This window comes from Homo sapiens, chromosome 8, assembly GCF_000001405.40.
Source record: "Homo sapiens chromosome 8, GRCh38.p14 Primary Assembly".
Classification (NCBI taxonomy): Eukaryota; Metazoa; Chordata; class Mammalia; order Primates; family Hominidae; genus Homo; species Homo sapiens.
Window position 1 is genome coordinate 84,974,196 of NC_000008.11, and position 21,399 is coordinate 84,995,594.

At 36.6% G+C, this 21,399-nt stretch overlaps 1 pseudogene; it reads right to left on the reverse strand.

Annotated features, from left to right (window-relative positions):
• JCHAINP1 (joining chain of multimeric IgA and IgM pseudogene 1) lies at positions 5,382 to 6,367 on the reverse strand (annotated as a pseudogene).

Sequence of the window (21,399 nt, forward strand, 5' to 3'; positions counted from 1 at the left end):
AAATATATTTCATGTTCATGGATTGGAAGAATCAGTATTGTTAAAATGTCCATACTTCCCAAAGCAACCTACAGATTTTTTTTTTTTTAAGACAGGGTCTCACTCTGTCACCCAGGCTGGAGTGCAGTGTTGTGATCATGACTCACTGCAACCCCTGCCTACTGGGCTCAAGTGATCCTCCCACATTAGTCACCCAAATAGCTGGGACTACAGGTGTGTGCCCCTACACCTGGTTAATTTTTTTTCGTATATTTTGTAGAGGCAGGGTTTTGCCATGTTGCCCAGGCTGGTCTCAAATGCCTGGACTCAAGCAATCCTTCTGCCTTGGCCTCCCAAAGTGCTGGGATTACAGGCATGAGTGCCCGTGCATGGCTTGCAATCTACAGATTTAATGCAATCTCTATCAAAATGCCAAGGAAATTCTTCACAGAAATAGAAAAAGAATTCTAAAATTTATATGGAACCACAAAAAAACCAGAATAGCAAAAGCTATCCTGGGCAAAATGAACAAGATTGGAGGAATAACATTACCTAACTTCAAATGATACCACAAAGCTATAGTAACTGAAACATCATGGTACTTGCATAAATACAGATACATAGACCAGTGGAACAGAATAGAGAACCTAGAAACAAATCCATACATCTATAGTGAATTCATTTTTGACAAGAGTGAGTGACAAAAACATATAATGGGGAAAGGACAGTCTCTTCAATAAATAATGCTGGGAAAACTGGATATTCATATGAAGAAGAATGAAACTGGATCTCTATCTCTCACCCTATAGAAAAATCAAATCAAAATGAACTAAAGACATCTAAGTTCCCAAACTATGAAACTACCAGCAGGAAACATTGGAGAAACTCTCCAGGACATTGACTTTGGCAAGGGTTTCTTGAGTAATATCCCACAAGCACAGGCAAGCAAAGCAAAAATGGATGAATGGGATCACATCAAGTTAAAGTTTCTGCACAGCAAAGGAAACAATCAACAAAGTGAAGAGACGACCCACAGAAAGGGAGAAAATATTGGCAAACTACTCATCTGACGAGGGATTAATAATCAGACTATATAAGGAGCTTGAACAACTCTATAGGATAATATCTAATAATCTGATTAAAAATGAATAAAAGATCTGAATAGACTTTTCTCAAAAGAAGACGTACAAATGACAAACAGGTATATAAAAAATGTTCATCATCATTGATCATCAGAGAAATGTGAATCAAAACTACAATGAAGTATTATCTCACACCAGTTAAAATAGCTTTTATCCAAAAGACAGGTAATAACAAATGCTGTCAACAATATGGAGAAAAGGGAAGCTTCATACACTCTTGGTGGGAATGTAAATTAGTACAACCACTATGGAGAACAGTTTGAAGGTTTCTCAAAAAACAAAAAATAGAGCTATCATATGATTCAGCAATCACACTGCTAGGTATATATCCAAAAGAAAGGAAATCAGTATATCAAAGAGAAATCTGAACTCCCATGTTTATTGCAGCACTATTCACAATAGCCAGGATTTGGTGGCAACACAAATGTCTGTGAACAGATGAATGGATAAAGAAAATGTTGTACATATACACAATGGAGTACTATTCAGCAATAAAAAGAAGGAGATCCTGTCATTTGCAAAAACATGGATGGAACTAGAGGTCATGGTGTTAAGTGAAATAAGCCAGACACAGAAAGACAAACTTTGCATGTTCTCACTTATTTTGGGGAGCTAAAACTTAAAACAATTGTATTCATGGAGGTAGAGAGTAGAATGACAGTTACTAGAGGCTAGAAAGGGTAGAAGGGTTGGGGCGTGAGGGGGGAGTGATTGCTGATGGGCAGAAAAAAATAGTTAGAAAGAATAACTAAGATCTAGTATTTGATAGCACAACAGAGTGACTATATTCAATAATTTAATTTTATGTTTAAACATAACTAAAAGAGTATATTTGGATTGTTTGTAACACAAATAATAAATGCTTGAAGTGATGAATACCGCATTTACCCTGATGTAATTGTTAAACATTGTATACCTGTATCAAAATATTCTATATACTCCATAAATATATATACCTACTATGTACTTACAAAAAATTAAAAATAAAATAAATTTTACATCCAAATTGAGACTTTTTTTCAACTTGCTTGGTGTTCTCATGTAATATTACTATCTCTTTTTTATAAGAAATGTGATTATTGCCCTTGATTCAAAAGGATTTATTTTGTTACCCAAGAAAGCAAAAATGCTTTGTGACACAGGTTATCTGTAGTGCTACTTAGAGAAATTGCAGTTACTGACTGTTTTCAATTCCTAGACTTTGGGAAATATTGACAGGTCCTCTCATCCTCAACTTTAGTGTTACTAATAACTGTAGAGCTGGTGAAACTGTCTGGAGCTTAGGTTCACAGAGGTGAGTCAGAGGATTTTAATCTTTTGGATTTTAACATAATGGCTTTTCTCATATTAGGCCCCTTCAGGAAGAAGAAAATACGAAAAAAACCTGTTCTTAAAATTCAAAGAAGGTTTACTAGCTAACTTCAGAAAGATGCTGGAAAGTGATTAATTTTTATACAACATATTTCAAAATGTACTAGTTAATAAGAGGAATGCTATCCAGAGTGGAAACAACTTTTTCAAAAGCTCATTATCCTGGAGTCTTGCACATCAATGCTCATGATTTCCTGGGTACAGTAATAGCAACCCCTATTTATGCACTACTTGCCATTTGAGGTTTTTAAAATGATAAATAGCTGCCATTTGGAATCTGCCTCTAGTTTGAATACCAAAATGACAGTATAGTTCAGAACTTCATGGTTCACCTACTGGATATGTCTTGTTTACTGTTGAAATGTTCTAATCTTCATTTCCATGATAATGACAACAAAAAGGAGACCAGTGTTCTTTACCAATGAAGCTGCAGTCACACCAGAATTATCTTTTTATAAAACATCAGAGTGACAGGGATTATGGTTGCTTTTATGTTCTGGGAATTACTTAATTTTAACAACTTAGAGAGATGCCACTACTATGAATCTGGGTATTTTCTTTTTTCTTATCATGCCTAGCATTGCTTATTTTTATAATTTGTTGCTTTCTGAACCTAGGGGAAAAAGATCTATTTATATATTTTCCCCTCAGAAACAATACCAATTTGGTAGATATCTCAATAACTTACCTAGTTTTTCAAGATGAAAGTGATATACTAGTAGAATGATTGATTATATAATTCATGTAGAAGACCATGGGGCTAGAATTCCCTAATCCCTTTGGAGTCAAAATGGGAGATGAATGGGAGTAGAGGGCTACCGATGACTCTGAAAAGATGGTGCACTGACTTTTGATAAAGGATTAAGAAAAGATCCTGTCTCATTAAATATATCTGTGTTCACCTAGTATTACAGTGGGTCATTTTACATATGTGTCAATTATAGCTTTTTTCCGTTTGTAAATGTCATGAAACTAGTGATTTGACTTTTAAAAAATTATTATATTCAACAACTGATATCCAAGTAGAAAAAAAGTGACCAGCTGCTGTTATAGTGCACTATTCCAAAGCTGCCTTATCTACACACAAGAAAGATTACCGACTCAATTTTCGAAATAGTGTAAAAAAAGAGGAAGGTGAATATTACGTAATGTTATAACAATAGGAAACGTTGAGCAAATAAGTTAATCATAATTATTGTAAATTCTTCACTGCAAAAATAGAATAACTACTACTGTCTGATTTTTTAAAAAACAAAATGTGGAATAAAATACAAAGTAAGACATAGCATTGACAGGTTACAAAAAGGATAATAGTATTTTTTTCAAATCTAAGAAATTACGTATTGATGATGTGCGAGCTACCTCTGCTCTGCCTGAAAATAGAATTTACAGAGTTAGAAGAATGTGGAAGGAAGAAGAGAGACACCTTAGAATTACCGTTATTCCATATGGGAGGTGAATTCCGTATTCCTGAGATTGTAGTTCCCCTATGACTCTGGAGTGCTACATAATTTTTTTTTTTTTTTTTTTTTTTTTTTTTTTTTTTTTTTGAGACGGAGTCTTGCTCTGTCGCCCAGGCTGGAGTGCAGTGGCGCGATCTCGGCTCACTGCAAGCTGCGCCTCCCGGGTTCACGCCATTCTCCTGCCTCAGCCTCTGGAGTAGCTGGGACTACAGCGCCTGCAACCATGCCCAGAATTTTTTTTTTTTTTTTTTTTTTTTGTATTTTTGGTAGAGAAGGGGTTTCACCGTGTTAGCCAGGATGGTCTCTATCTCCTGACCTCGTGATCCGTCCGCCTCGGCCTCCCAAAGTGCTGGGATTACAGGCGTGAGCCACCGCGCCCGGCCAGAGTGCTACATAATTTTGACGATGCCTTCTTAGAAGAGTAAACCTGAGTTGATAGACTGTTCTGGAAAGACAATAGGTGTACCCAGATGTGGAGCATGTTTATTATTCTATTCCCATGGTCTTCTACAAGGAGAAAGGGTGGAAGGTGGCTCCTTTGCCCTCACGGTGCCTTCAGAAAAAATGTTGCCTCTTAACGTAAACGTAATTAAATATATTTTAAAAATACTTAATATGTATTTTAAAAATCTAACAAGTTCAAAACATCTTTAAATATAATATGATTTAATATTAATTAGTGGGTTTGAAATTGATAATTTTCTGTAACAATACTTAGTCCTCCCTTCCAAAATGGAAATTATACAACTTGACCAATGTTCTATGTGAAAATAATTTCCTTGATTTCTATTTACTATGAGCATCTGCATAGGAGTGTTATTCTTTCTTATGCTTATGAATCTAGTTAATTGTTCAAACTGTGCTAGAGAATAAGTATTTTGGCATACATATTTCATTAGATTCATTTACAACATAGATGGTTTCCAATGGGAATTTCTTACGCTAACCCGATTATCAAAAAAAGATGAAAATCTGTATCATCTGCTTTCAAGTCTAGTGTTATGTCAAAATACATTTTTCAATTATGCATTTAATTATTCAGCTAATGGGTTTCATAAATAGTAGAGATTTCATTTTAAATTATTTTTATAAATAGTTCCAAAACATGTTTTTTTTGTTGTTGTTTTTTGTTTGTTTTGTTTTTGAGACAGTATCTCTGTTGCCCAGGCTGGAGTGTAGTGGCGGAATCTGGGCTTACTGCAAACTCTGCCCCCGGGGTTCAAGTGATTCTTGTGCCTCAGCCTTCCGAGTAGCTGGGATCATAAGTGTGCACCACCATGCCTGGCTTATTTTTGTATTTTTAGTAGAGATGAGGTTTTGCCATGTTGGCCAGACTGGTCTGAAGCTCCTGGCCTTCAGTGATCTGCCTGCCTCGGTCTCCCAGAGTGCTGGGATTATAGGATTGAGCCATCGTGCCCGGCCCAAAAACATGTTTTTCAATTATTATTTTTCTCGTGAAGACATATAATCGACCTATGTTTACACATGTATGTTCTCTATACAGTGAAACTTTTTAAAGAGAGAATAGTATGGAAAATTAAAAAGCTCTGGCTCTCCGAGGCAAAGGCAGAGAAAGGGCAACATTTTGTTATGCCTCCTGATTTTACTCCTTGAGTTTTATTTTCTCCCCTTGTCTATTTTTTTAATGCTAGAAACTGTATTCTTAAGGGAGCATACCTCTTCAGGCAAGCATGATAAATGACAGATTTTAATACGGTGTGACCATATAGTTGAGAAGTAATTACCTAATAAAGACAATAATGTTACTATTTCGATTATTTTGGGGGGGGGGGCATTAGTTTTACATCATCTAAAACAAAATCCAGGTTTCAAATTCACCGGTAGTAAATATATTAACTTTCTGGATCAAAATGGAGAGCCTCTCAAGATAAAGAGTTGTGCAGTCAGCAATGACAAATTAGTCAGGATAGCAGGAACCTGGGGTCAAGCCTATTTTCACCATTTTGGTCTCACCACCGTATATAAGCAGGACCATAGTTGTGTAGCACTTGTTTCTGACATCAGTGTGGCATATCTCTGTAGCACTGTCTTCGTCACGGATATTGCTCTGGGTAGCAGGAACTCTAATTATCCAGTTCCACTTCTGTAGGATCACATTTTTTACAGAGGTATGACAAATGGTACACAAATTTGGTTCTCAACCTTGAGATGGGATCAGAGATATTCTTCTTGTTGTCCAGGAGAACAGCAATTTGGATGTTTCTCTCCACAATGCCGTCATTAGGTTCTTTGGTAGAAGAGATGATGGTGAAAATAACCTGGGCCCACTTATATTTGTCATCAACAAGAATGATCCTCTCATCTTCATCTTGGTGTCACAAGAACAGCCTTAACAAAAATGGCCTGGACTGTCCAGAAAAGAAGATAGTTCTTTATCTTGACTTCAGTTCTCTTGAAAACCCAAATTCTAAAATGAGTCAGACACTTCCTCCAAGGTTTAATATAGAATTATAACTAAACACATTTCAGAAAGAATAAAGGACAAGGAAGTAAGTCAAGAATAATTCCATTTGCAGAAAGAGGGCCTGCTGCCTTGTTTTATTTTATTTTTTTGACCCAGGAAAGGTAAGGGCCCATTAGCAAAGTAGAACCAACATTTAAATACATAAGCAAACATGAAGGCTTTTGTCTTTTCCTCTCAGTTTTGAATCCTTGGTGTCATGTGGGAAGTGGATTGGTTTCACATCTAAAATAGGAGAAGGAAGGAATGAAGGAGTTGTCAGTGACCTAAGATAAATATCTGATGCATACTAATTTTTTAGTGTTACCAGAGTGGTCCCAAACTCCTTAGCGTTCTGAGCTCAACATGATTGTAATATTTAATTAAATAGTTTGTGTCCCTCTTTTGCATTTTGTGGCAGAAAGGATACGATTCTCCTGTCTTGGTGGAATTTGGGGAGTGGATCTGGAGGCGCTGCAGTTGCTCATCATCACCTGTGAGCTTAAACTTTCATTTCTTTCTGCAAGCCTCTCCTAGCCCTCTTCCCAACATTTCATCATTTGCCCATGCTGCTCCTGCTCCTTGTTTATTTCTACCCAAAATGCCAAGAAAAACTCTCCATAATGCCCCAAGTTTAGGAACTGACTTTTCCCTCATAAGTTGGAAAAACAAATCTTCATATTGTTTTTGCATATGGAACTACTTAGATACTTTCAACCTGGAAATTGTCTTTCATAATCAAAAGGATCATACATATGTGCTTTTCTAAACCTACTGATCTTAAACTGTTGGATGTCAGGACCTCCTTTTACTCTTAAATTACCCAGGGCCCTAGAGAGCTTTTCTTTATGTGGTTATATCTACCGCTATTTATCCTACTAGTAATTAAATGAGAAATATTAAAAATATTTCTGTGATCTGAATATTTGTAACACCACAAAAATTTATTTGAAGAAACCTAATCCACAATGTTATACTATTAACAGGTGGGGTCTTTAGGAGGTCATTAGGTCATGAGGGCAGAGCCTTCAGTAATGGGATTAGTTCTCTTATAAAAAAGCCATAAAGGAAATGATTTGCCCCTTCTGTCTTTAAGGACACAGAGAGAAGGTACCATCTACCAGATGTCGAATCTGCTGGAGCTTTATGGTGGACTTCCTATACCCTAAAAATGTGAGAAATAAATTTCTGTTGTTAATAAGCCATTATGGTACTTTTGTTATAATAGCCTGAATAGACTAAAATAAGTATTTAAGTATTAAAATAATACATTATGATATATTAATTCAATATATAATTATTCAGAAAAAACAGTACAATTTCAGTTATGCAAGATAAATTCTAAAGAACTGCTGTACATTATGTCTGCAATTAACAATATTGCACTGTGCACCTAAAAATCTGTTAAGAAGGTAGATGTCATGTGTTCTTATAGCAATAAAATTAACAATAATACATTTATTGCAGTTTAATATGTATAACATTTTTAGGAAAAATAATTGTATATTGCAAAACAAAAAATTGTAGTGAGAATGGTGGCATTGTACATTTTCACAGATCCTTTTCTTATCTGGCTTATTCATAGATGATAGTAGAGTCTCATTTCTGCTTCTACATTTACACTATTGCAATATGTTGTTTTGGTTGAGGTTTATTAAAAAGTCTGGAGAAGTTTCTAAAGTATAGGAAGTATCCGAAGAAGCATATGAAGAAAATATTCTGGGGAGAGTACAGTCACTTCCGCTGTGAAGGCACAGATGAGTTCCTAAAAAGCACTGAGCTATGCAAAACAGTGCTTTTAAAAATACAGGGTTTATAAGGAAATGAGTTTAGGAATATAGTGCTCGGAAACTTTTCTGACACACACAAAAACCAGATACTAATCTAATTAAAAAGCAGGGCTCTTATAAAAATGGTAGCACAGTTTTAGACATTAAATAGGCAAGAAATGAATGAATTCAATGATAAATACAGCATGACCTTATCGGAAATTTATTTGTGGAACCAGGTGTCTTCACTCCCACCTGGCTGGTCTACCTGGCTCCCAAGTCCACCACTCTACAGGCAAAAGGAAGAGAACACAAGAGAGATGAAGAGAGAAAAAGGAAGGTGAACACAGAGGGAAAAAGCAAAATAGGCTGAGAGGAAATGAGGAAATTAAAGAGAGGGAGGTTGGGGGCCTCTTTAGTGTCCTCGGTAGTTAGAAGGATTGCACCTTGTGAGTTTTTGTAAAGTGCTGGCGGGAAAGTGATGTGAAATTGAATGGAATATGGTAACACCATGTGTGGATGGGTGTGGCCCAATGTCCTCGTGAAGTGTGTGTCTGAGTGGGATGTTTGTATTTGTAGGAGGGAAAAAGTAATATCTCTTCCTTACCTATCACAAGGTTTGCAGCTGACACTCCTATAATGAAAGGTAGATTAACAAGAGGAAAGCATAACAAATTTAATAAAGTTTTGTGTGGCACAGGAGACTTCAGAAATGGAGATCCAGAATGAATGAAGGATAGTTTCTCAAAAAGGATATTGAGCAACTGTCTCTTTCTTCCTTTTATCTCCCTTTCTGTCTCTGTCTCTCTGTCTCTGTCTCTGTCTCTCCCTCTCTCACACACACATGCACACAAACGTACATGAGCATGTAGTGTACCAGGTCTCCTATGAAGTACATCTTATTTTAGTTTGTGAGACACAGTCATACGAAACCCAAATTTGGAATAATTTTGTAATCATCAAGACAGAGTAGAGTACCATTAATCTTATATATTGGATATTCCAGTAGTTTGTATATTAACTCATGGTAAATTGAGAATTAGAATACCGTATTTCATATTATTTGAGAAAATTATTCACTTTTAGGTTATTTTCTTTAATGTACCTTGGAATAAAAGCTTCACTTCAGACCCTCGGAAATGCTGGATGAAGGTAAAAATTACTTTGAATGCTTCTGAAACTATAAAAATACTGCCTAGGGTGTTCTCTATTGATTATATATGCAGATTACCTTTTTAACTGCCTCTCTTATGCGGTATTAATTTGTGCTTGGAATATTTTATGTCTTGATAACTTGATTGATTTGGAGCAAAGTCAGTAAAACACAGATCTTTATTTTATTTAAGTAAAATTCAATAGAAAGGCTTTCATCTGACATCAGTCAGATTTTATTGAGGGTTTGATATAATTCCTTTTGATATAATATCTCATTTCATTAATAACAAATATAGGAATATATGCCAGATTCTGAAATGAATTATAATCGGAGCCATAGATATTTTTCTAAACCACATTCAAGTGTCAATTCACTTCCATTTCAACTAGCTTGATAAATAATCATACCCTAAGTTTACACAGTTTCATATTCATTACCATATTTTTTCCTAATAACAACCCCCAAAGCAGGTAAAAGTCATACTAGCATAAAACTTGACATGACAAGGTTATCTGCAGTGGTTTGGAGCATCTGGAGAGAGGCCAGAACCTCCATCTTGGAGTGGGACTGAACAGTAGGGATAGAAGTGTTTGGGAACTTGAAAGGGTAGAGGTAGGAGCACAGAACGGTTTCAGATTCCAGAGGAAACTCAAGTCAGATGTATAGGTTATGGTACACAAAGTGTGTGTCTATGGATGATTGTCTAATATGTTCAGTTCCCATATGTGGGCAGGGAGTTTACCTGACAGGAAAGCCACAAGCACCTGTGCCACAAAAGGTTACTGGAAACAGGGAGAACTAGACTAGAGTGATCAGAAGGAGGAGTATGATCATATCATTATTAGTAGTACACATACAGGTCACCTACAGAGCTGGGTAAATGTGCACTGTGTGATTGGGTAGGTCCAGGATGGGGCTGTGGCATGTTTGTTTTAAAGCCACAGAAATGATACACTTGGTCTATGGTGAGAACCATGACTTAAATAAGAGTTCGGTGTGGGGTAGCAGCATTCATGACATAGCTAGGAGCCAATGGTAGACTTGGGCAGAAAAGGCAGGGCTCTAGAAACTCTAAGAGTTGAGGGATAGATTGCAGTGCCCTGTAAAATATCTCAGGGTGAATGTTTCAGAGCAATTATGGTCATACTACTTTCTTTTTGAAAGGACACAGTGATGAATTCCATTGTGTATGTGTGTGTGTGTGTCTGTGTATGTGTGTGTGCTGGCCATGTGTCAGAACAATAGGTCCACCAAACTGTAGGCATAGGGCTGGTTGAGGCATGTTAATACTAGGGAGGTAAATTATTAGTCTGTGGGTTTTGCAAAAATGCAGTTGTCAGCAATGGGCAATTTATAACCAGTGTCTCTCAAAAATTCAGACAAGACATTAGCTTCAGGGATATCTATCATGAGTAAAGGGACCCCAAACACTCAAAAGATTCAGAGTCAAATACTTATTTGAGAAAAATGGGAAGAGAAAATCAAGAGACATATTTAAGTCATAATATTCAATAGCAAAATTGGGCTAGAGATATAAAGAGACAATTCATAGTAAAAGCACTAATGAGAAAACAAACAAACAAACAAAAACACATAAGAAAAGTTGTCCAAACTTTCTGATACTAGCAATAATAATTAAAGTAAGGAGATAATTTAATTTTATTAAATTAGCAAAAGTTAAAAAGTAATAGAATCAGTATTAATTTCCTATGACTGTTGAAACAAATTATCACAAACTAGGAGGCTTAAGGCAACACAGATTTATTCTCTTACAGTTCTGGAGGTCAGAAATCTGAAATCAGTTTCACTGGACTACAGTCAAGGTATTAGCAGGGCTGGTTGCTTTCAGAGGCTCTAGGAGGAGAATTGGAGGAGAGAGGAATTAGCTTCTAGTCTTTTCTAGCTTCTGGAGGCCACCTACTTTCCTTGGCTGGTGACTCCTTCCTCTTAGTAACTACTCCAATCTCTTGGTTCATCATCACACTGCCTATTTATGTATCAAAGCTCTCTCCAATAAAGACACTTGTGATTACATTTGGGAATGTAATCACAAATGTAATGAGGAGAGAATACTCTCCTCATTAGGCTTGTATTCTTTTTTAAAAATTTTAAGTTCTGGGATACATGTGCAGAACGTGCAGTTTTGTTACATGGGTATACATGTGCCATAGTGATTTGCTGCACCTATGAACCCATCATCTAGGTTTTAAGCACCCCATGCATTAGGTATTTGCCCTAATACCTAATGGGATCATTAGGTATTAGGGATACCTTATGGGATCATTAGGTATTAGGGATACCTTATGGGGTATCCCGAATGATTGGGATCATTCGAACCCAAGAGTTTGAGATCAGCCTGGGCAACATAGAGTGACCCTATCTCTACAGAAGTTTTTTTAAAAATTAGCTGTGCATGGTGGTGCATGGCTGTGGTCCTAGCTACAAGGGGAACTAAAGCAGGAGGATCACTTGAGCCCAGGAAGTCAAGGCTGCAGTGAGAGGTGTTTGTGCTGCTTCACTCCAGCTTGGGCAACAGAGCAAGACTCTGTCTCAAAAAAAGAAAAAAAATGTTGTTATAAAGGAAGGAATTTCAAAACACAGCCATTTTCAAATTCTTGACAATTGTTGAATCTGGGCAAAGTAGCATACAGTAGCATAAAATCCTCCCCCTCCCCTTGACCCTTACCCCCTGACAGGCCCCAGTGTGTGATGTTTCCCTCTCTGTGTCATGTGTTCTCATTGTTCAACTCCCACTTATGAGTAAGAACATGCAGTGCTTGGTTTTCTGTTCCTGTGTTAGTTTGCTGAGAATGATAGCTTCTAGGTTCATCCATGTCCCTGCAAAAAACATGAACTCATTATTTTTTATGGCTACATAGTATTCTATGGGATATATGTGCCAGATTTTCTTCATCCAGTCTATCATTGATGGGCATTTGCTATAGTAAATAGTGCTGCAATAAACATATGTGTGCATGTTTCTTTATAGAATGATTTGTAATCCTTTGAGTATATACCCAGTAATGAAACTGCTGTGTCAAATGGTATTTCTGGTTCTAGATCCTTGAGGAATCACCACACTGTTCTGTTTTCCACAATGGTTGAATTTATTTACACTCCCACCAACAGTGTAAAAGCGTTCCTATTTCTCTACATAGGCTTGTATTCTTTGAGTCTGGTTTCTTTCTCTTAACATGAAGTTTGTTGCAAGAGGCTGCAGTTAACTTACTTTCATTGCTAATAGTATTACATTGTAGGGAATACCATAATTTAATCTACTTTAGTACTAATGCAAATGTGGATTGTTTTCATTTTTTGATTTCTTAAAAAAGCAATGCATCTACACTTCTCTTCTAAATTGATGTTTATACTCTCTCCTAGCCAGTCAAGAAGTTTAGACTGCTTTAACCCCATGTAATCTCTTTCTGTCTTCAATCCTATTGCCATGTTATTTTAATTCTCTTTATATTTTAAACCTCTCAAGACATTAAAAAACTTTACACAGTCATTATTCATTTGGGTATACCCACATATTTACTATTTTAATTTCATTTATTCTTTGTTGTAGCTCTTCTTTTTTTTACTAGATTGTTATCATTTTGCCTAAAGAATACTCTTTCTTTCATTTACCATGAATCTGCTAGCAACAAATCATCTTAGTTTCCATTTATCTGAAAATGTCTTCATTTTTATCTTAATTCTTGAAAATAAAATTTAATTATTGTTCTTGTATGCATGGCTTAATTTTTTAAAATTTAATGTATATATTTAAGGTAAACAACATGATTTTTCAATAGACTATTTTTAGAGCAGTTTAGGTCCACAGTAAATTTGGGCAGAAGGTATAGAGATTTCCCATATGCCTCTTCCCCGAAACATGTATAACCTCCCCCATTATCAACATCCTCCACCAGAGTGGGACATTTTTTACAATTGATGAGCCTACATTGACACATCATCATCATCCAAAGCCCATAGTTCACGTTAGGGGTCACACTTGGTGTTGTACATGCCTGAGGGAACTGATTGAACACATGTGAAGCTGTGTCCAAACTGTGACCAGATTAATTGGAAAAATGTAAAATGACATGTATCCACCATTGTAGTATCATATAAAGTAGTTTCACTGCTATAAAAATTCTCTATGCCTCATCTATTCATCCTTCCCTTCTATAAACCCTGGCAACCACTAATGTTTTTACTGTCTCCATAGTTTTGCATTTTCCAGAATGTTGTATAGTTGGCATCAAACAGTATGTAGCTTTTGCAGATTGACTTCTTTCATTTATAATACACTGTTATTAACTGTAGTCCCCATGTACAACATGATGTTTTTATATACACGTACATTTCAATACTGAAATGATTATGGCAGCCAAGCCAATTAACATATCCTTCAGGCACAGGTACAGTTTTTTGTGGTAAGAGCACCTAAAATATATCCTTTTAGCAAATTTCCAGCATACAATGCAATATTAACTATAGTCCTCGTGATGTATATTAGATATCTAGAAATCCATTTATTATAGATTTCTAGATTAACAGTATTTTTTCACCACATTAAAAATTTACTCCATTATTTTTTGACTTTCACTGTTCTTGTTGAGAAATTAGAAGTCATTTTGGCTTTTGCTTCTTTGAAGGTAATGTCTTTTTTTTTTGCTTTTAATGTTTTTACCTTTTCTTTCTTTTTTACTAATTTTGCTATGTTGGACTAGTTGGAAACGTAGATGTTAAACCCATCTACCGAGTTCTTGATTTCACATATTTTCTTTGTTTTAGATTTTCCATATGGTACTTTTTTACATATGCTATACAAATTGTCTATAGTTCCCTCATCTTTACTATATTTGCAACCATTTTTAAAATCTCTTTGAAGACATTATTTTATCTCCTTGAACATAAGCATAATTATTTAAAAGTCTGTGTTTGATAATTCCAGTATTTGAAGACCTTTGTTCTCTTTGTATTATCTATTTTTTCCTGCTGGCTTTTCTTCATTAACTCTTAACTCCCCTGTGTATTATCTTTGATTATGTGCCAGACATTATATTTGAAAAAAAAAGCCAGGAGCTTTGGAGTCTATTTGTGCTATTATAGGTTCATTTGCCAACATCCTGATAAAACAAGCCAGTCTAATCAGTACTGAAAACCAGATCTTCCACATATCCGTTTTCCTATAACACTAAGCAGGTATTTTAAAAATTCTTCTGTAAATTCCGGATTTGCAAAACGTGCCTTGCCTGAAACTTTAACATTTTTTAGGTGTATTGCCTTTTAAAAGCTTCAAGCCAACCAGCACTAGCTAGAGGGGTTTAATATTTTCATAAACTCTGAGTAATATGACTGTAAATTTCTTTAGCTTTCAGCCTACAAAAACATTGTCCACTATGCTTCTTTTTAAGTCATTATCTCACGAACCCACAAGTAGCCATTTTCCATCTTTTCCATAGCTTCATTACACAATATAGATATTACATCAGCACTTTTTAAGTGGCCTCATGTACAGACTGGTGATTTTTCTTTCTTTTTCTGAACGTACCATATTGTTGACTCATTAACATTGAATTCACAGCCAACAGCACTCGAACTCATGCCTAAAGGAAGCTCATCTAACACACACATTTTCTCTATAAGGCACAACATAGCCTTTGTGTGCTTAGGAACGCTATGCAGCACTTCAGCACTACCCTTGGGAGCCATTTAAAGTAACAAAATCACCATCAAAAAGCACGAAATGTGAAAACACAGCACTAAAGACACTGCAAAAATGACACTTGTTTACTGTATGGCATTGAATGAGAAGGCTGAGCATTTTGTTGTTTAACCTCAGTTGGGAAAGCACATGTTGGGTGACTCTGTGTACATCTGTGAATGACTATAAAGGTGCTGTGAGCATTGATTTTATGTTTAAAAATAAATTTTAGTGAGTAGGCAAATTTGCAAATATAAAATCCTTGGATAATGAGGATTGACTGTATCTGAGATTTCCTAAAGCCAGTTTAATGAATTAAAATTTTTTGAATCACATAGATGGTGTAAGCTGGGATGCATTTTTTTGTGAGGGCTGTTACTTCTGGTGCACCTTTATTCCAGCAGTGCAGTCTTTCAGGGTCCCAATCACAAAAAAAGAAGGGCCCCAGGATTCAAATTCTTCCCCCTGACTCTGAAGCTGTCAAGAACACTGCTCAGTCATTGAGTCACTTTTTCTGGAATTGGTCACTGGCCTAATGATAAAAACTACCAGACTTCTCAATTTCTGTCTTTACTGGATCTCAACTCGATGATTATGGACTAATAACATGGTTTTACATTTTATTATATCCTGATCATTTTCACATCATCACCAGAAGACAAATTGTAAGACTGGACTGCAAGATTTTTTTTCTAATCTAAACTGAAAAATGTACTATTACAATTTTACAAGTTTGTTTTGTTAAGGTCACAGGGATAGATCACATGCTTTGAATTGATAGGAGTGTGGTTTCTTCTGCAGAGTAGAAACATTTTAATTTTCAGTCATTCTGGTAAGAGGTCAGGGCAAGGCTCAGGAGATGGGTTTTCGACTGAAGTGAGGTGAAAGTCATTTTCTCACAGATGGAGTGTGTTAGGGGATGCTGCTGGAAAAAATAGTAAGCTTCTCTGGGTCATGAAGATTCTGGTAAAGAATCTAGAATAGGTCTTGGCCTGGACAATGGTTGTAAATTACTCCTTGTGTTGACTTGCCTTTTATTGTACCCCCAGAAACATATCATCAAATTTAATAACCTAGAATCAATTGTGCCATGGGGGATTATGGATGCAACCATTCCATTGTTAATAGAAAGGAAAATAGTTTTCTTCTTCTGAGATCAGACTAAAAGACAGCTATGCTCAAGATAGCTGTGACCTCACAATGGCCTCACATGGATGGAGGCAGTATGACAGACATCTGTTTCCCAGGGCTGCTCTGACGAAGTACCAAAAACCAGGTGGCATAAAACAACAGAAATGTGTTGTTTTCCAGTTCTGGAGGTTAGAAATCCTCAATCAAGTTGTCATCAGGGCCATGCTTTCTCTCATGGCTCTGGGGGAGAATCTTCCCTTGCCTCTTCTAGTTTTAAGGTGTTTTCTAGCAATTCTGGGTATTCCTTAGTTTATAAATGCATCACTCCAGTCACTTGAATTTCTTCTTTCTGTATCTTCATATTTTCTTCCCTCTGTGTGGGTCTATGTCCAAATTTCCACTTTTTATAAGGACACCAATCATATTGTATTAGGGCTTACTCTAATGACCTCATCAATAACTTGGTTAAATCTGCAAAGATCTTACTTGGAAATTGTCAAGATCATATTTTGAGATATTGAGGGTTAATATTTCAATATATCTTTTTGGAAGTTGTATTAGTCCGTTTTCCCACTGCTATAAAGAATTTCCCTAAGACTGGGTAATTTGTAAATAAAAGAAGTTTAATTGACTCACAGTTCCACACGGCTGGGGAGGCCTCAGGACACTTACAATCATGGCGGAAGGGGAAGCAGGCACCTTCTTCACAAGGTGGCAGGAGAGCAAGGAGCATGAGTGTGAAGGAGGAAATGTCAAACACTTATAAAACCATCAGATCTCTTGAGAACTCACTCATTATCATGAGAACAGCATGGGGGACACCACCCTCATGATCCAATCACCTCCCTCCCTTGAATCATGGGGATTACAGTTCAAGATGAGATTTAAGTGGAGACACAAAGCCAAACCACATCAGAGATGGAAACAATTCAGTCCATAATAATGAGGAATCCAAGGAAAAAATACCTGAGGGAACTGACTGAACACATGCGAAGCTGTGTCCAAGGAGGCTCCTATTGTTGACTGGGCTTTAAAGCACCATTTCTGTGGGTTATACTATATTCCAAAATACAACATAGGCAAAGTGGGGCATGTATCTGTCAGGTTTCAGTCAGGAGAACAGAGTCACTGTGAGTGTTTTAAAATGAGGAATTTTAAAAATAGGATTTAGACCTATACAATTGTGGAAGAATTTGGTTAAAAAAAAGTCCAGAAGAGGGCTTGGAGGGCCAGAAAAATAGTTGTTAACAGTGCATTTGGGAAAGCAGTCACAGCCACCAAAGGGGATTGGAAGGGAGACATTCACGGAGGGGATGAAGGAATGGGAAGCCATTGCTCCACTTCAGCTGCCCCCTGTGTGGGTCTGCAGCCAAACATCTGTGTTGGGCTAGGACCACTGTCAGGCAATGAGGTAAGTGGTAGAAAAAAGAACTGGATGTAAAATGAAGGATAAACTGGGACCTGCTGGGGCTATCTGCAAATGCGTGCCAACCTATCCGACTATAAAGAATTTCACTTCAACCTTCCAAGAGCTGCCAAACTGCTCTTTTGGCCAATTCTAACCTTGAAACATATAGGAATGGGATCCTGGAAACATAACTCTCATCTTTAACAATGTGCCACAAGGGAAGGCAAATTCTGCTGGAATTCACAAATTGGACATGAAACAGAAGTGAGATTTTATTACAAAGTTAATGGAATTATAAAAAAGAGATAAAGAGAACTTATACTAAAGGGATTAGACTGTTTTATTTCATGGACAAGGAAAGTTAATAAAGTAATCTATAGCCACATAAGGCTTATGAAAAAGAAAATAAGCCCTGCTTGTAGCTGGAGTATAAAGACTAACTTTCCCTTTTGGATATTGAATGTAAAACTTGGGAGAGCCAAATTATGGTTTTCATATATTGAGCCACTGACTAGCTCAGTGTAATTCAATATATATTTGTGTACCAGACTTTATCTTTGAGTGAAGATGCCTAACCAGGTCTTCCTTTCTCCTCCTCCCTGCTTTCTGCCTGCAAAACACCTGGTCAATTGTATTGGTCAGGATTCTCCAGAGAAACAGAATCAATACGAAATATATTTATGTCTTTGTGTGTGTGTGTATACACACTATACTTTTATAACTATGTAGATATGATATACTATACATTTATGACTATTTAGAATAATTTTAGTATTATTAAAAAATCATATACAGATGGTCCCCAACTTTTTTTTTAAGTTTTATTTTAGGTTAAGGAGTCCATGTGCAGGTTTGTTATATAAGTAGACTTGTGGCACACGGGTGTGATGTACAGATTATTTTGTCACACAGGTACTGAGCTGAGTACCCAATTACTGTTTTTTCTGTTCCTCTCCCTCCTCACACCCTCTACTCTGCAGTAGGCCCCAGTGTCTCTTGTTCCCCTCTTTGTGTTCACGTGTTCTAATCATTTAGCTCTCACTTATTAGGTGAGAACATGTGGTGTTTGGTTTTCTGTTCCTGCATTAGTTTTCTAAAGATAATGGCCTCTAGCTCCACCCATGCTCCTGCAAAGAACATGATCTCATTCTTTTTTGTGGTTGCATAGTATTTCATGGTGTATACGTACTACATTTTCTTTACTTAACTATGGTTTTACTTATGATTTTTTGATTTTACCATGGTGCAAAATGATATGTATTCAGTAGAAACTGTACTTTGACTTTTTAATTTTGATATTTTCCTAAGCTAGTGATATGTGATATGGCACTGTCTTACAATACTGAGCAGTGGCAGTGAGCAATAGCTCCCAGTCAACCACATGATCACCAGAGTAAATAACCAATACTCTACAGAGTACTGTTGCCAGATGATTTTCCCCAACTGTCGGATAATATAAGTGTTCTGAGCACATTAAGGCAGGCTAGGCTAAGCTAAGCTATGATATTATATTTGGTAGGTTAGATCTATTAAATGCATTTTTGACTTACAATATTTTCAATTTACAATGGTTTTGTTGGGATACATCCCCATTATAGGTCAAGAAGAATGTGTATATATATAATATACTGTACATATGTATATATGTGACATTGGCTTCTACAATTATGAAGGCTGAAAAGTTACAAGATCTGCAGGGAGAGTTGGCAAGCTGGAGACCCAGGAGAGCTTATGATAGCTCCAGTATGAAGGCTTGAAGGCTGGCAGGCTCAAGACCCAGGAAGAACCAATGTTTCAGTGCTAGTCCAAAGTCAGGAAAAAGTCAATGTCCTAGTTGAAAGGTAGGTAGGCAGGCAGAATTCTTTCTTGGGAGAGGGTTAGTCTTGTTCTATTCAGGACCTCAACTAATCGGAAGGGGCCTAGCCATATTAGGGAGAGCAATCTGCTTTACTCACTTAACCAATTTAAATCCTAATCTCATCCGAAAATGTCCTCACAGAAACACCCAAAATAAAGTCTGGTCAAATAGGTGGGTACCTCATGGTCCAGTCAACGTGACATATAAAATTAACCAGCATAACATTATTCTCAGCAACTTTCTGGACTGAGGCTTATTTTTGACCTGGGAAGAGCTTCTAAGTACTTTTATTATTACCTTAAGAGATTTAATTTTCTTTTTCAGTTTGAGTGTTTATGTAGTCTTAGTTCTTCTGTACATCTATTACAAACATAAAAGAAAAACAAAACATGTAAATCTAAAGATTCTCAACGGGAGAGGCTTTATTTGTTCAGGGACATATGGCAATGTCTCAAGATGCTTTTGGTTGTCAAGGTCAGCATCTAGTGAGTCGAGTTCAGGGATGCTGTTAAACATTCAACCATGCACAGGGCTGCCCCATTTGACAAAGCATTGTCTGGCCCAAAATGTCAGCATTGCTATTACAGAGAAACCCTGAATGATAATCCAAAAGAAATTTGATAATCAATTTCAGTTTCAGTCTACTTGAAGATGTCCTATTTGTTCTCTGAATAAATATAAAAGTTGAGAGGATAAAGAATTTCAGGAGCTAAACATTTTTAAAAAGTGAAGTTGGCAGGGCAATTTTTGGCAAGGAGGGATCTTGATAAAGATGACCAGAGGCACTGTCAGTTTTGAGAGATCATTTTTCCTTCAACGCTTGTCTGACTCCGTTTCCAAGCTGGTTCACCAGGTCTTTATTCATTTGCTCAGGAGGAACACTGACAGATTATGTCAACCTTGAATAAGAGGAGCTTTTCTTTTGGTTGGTAAGCTATTAATTATTGCCTCAATTTCAGAGCCTGTTATTGGTCTATTCAGAGATTCAACTTCTTCCTGGTTTAGTCTTGGGAGAGTGTATGTGTGGAGGAATTTATCCATTTCTTCTTGATTTTCTAGTTTATTTGCATAGAGGTGTTTAAAGTATTCTCTGATGGTAGTTTGTATTTCTGTGGGATTGGTGATGATATCCCCTTTGTCATTTTTTATTGTGTCTATTTGATTCTTCTCTTTTTTCTTCTTTATTAGTCTTGCTAGCGGTCTATCAATTTTGTTGATCTTTTCAAAAAGCAGCTCCTGGGTTCATTGTTTTTTTGAAGGTTTTTTTGTGTCTCTATTTCCTTCAGTTCTGCTCTGATTTTAGTTGTTTCTTGCCTTCTGCTAGCTTTTGAATGTGTTTGCTCTTGCTTCTCTAGTTCTTTTAATTGTGATGTTAGGGTGTCCATTTTAGATCTTTCCTGCTTTCTCTTGTGGGCATTTAGTGCTATAAATTTCCCTCTACACACTGCTTTGAATGTGTCCCAGAGATTCTGGTATGTTGTGTCTTTGTTCTTGTCAGTTTCAAAGAACATCTTTATTTCTGCCTTCATTTCGTTATGTACCCAGTAGCCATTCAGGAGTAGGCTGTTCAGTTTCCATGTAGTTGAGCAGTTTTGAGTGAGTTTCTTAATCCTGAGTTCTAGTTTGATTGCACTGTGGTCTGAGAGATAGTTTGTTGTAATTTCTATTCTTTTACATTTGCTGAGGAGTGCTTTACTTCCAAATATGTGGTCAATTTTGGAATACGTGTGGTGTGGTGCTGAAAAGAATGTATATTCTGTTGATTTGGGGTGGAGAGTTCTGTAGATGTCTATTAGGTCCTCTTGGTGCAGAGCTGAGTTCAATTCCTGAATATCCTTTTTAACTTTCTGTCTCGTTGATCTGTCTAATGTTAACAGTGGAGTGTTAAAGTCTCCCATTATTATTGTGTGGGGGTCTAAGTCACTTTGTAGGTCACTAAGGACTTGCTTTATGAATCTCGGTGTTC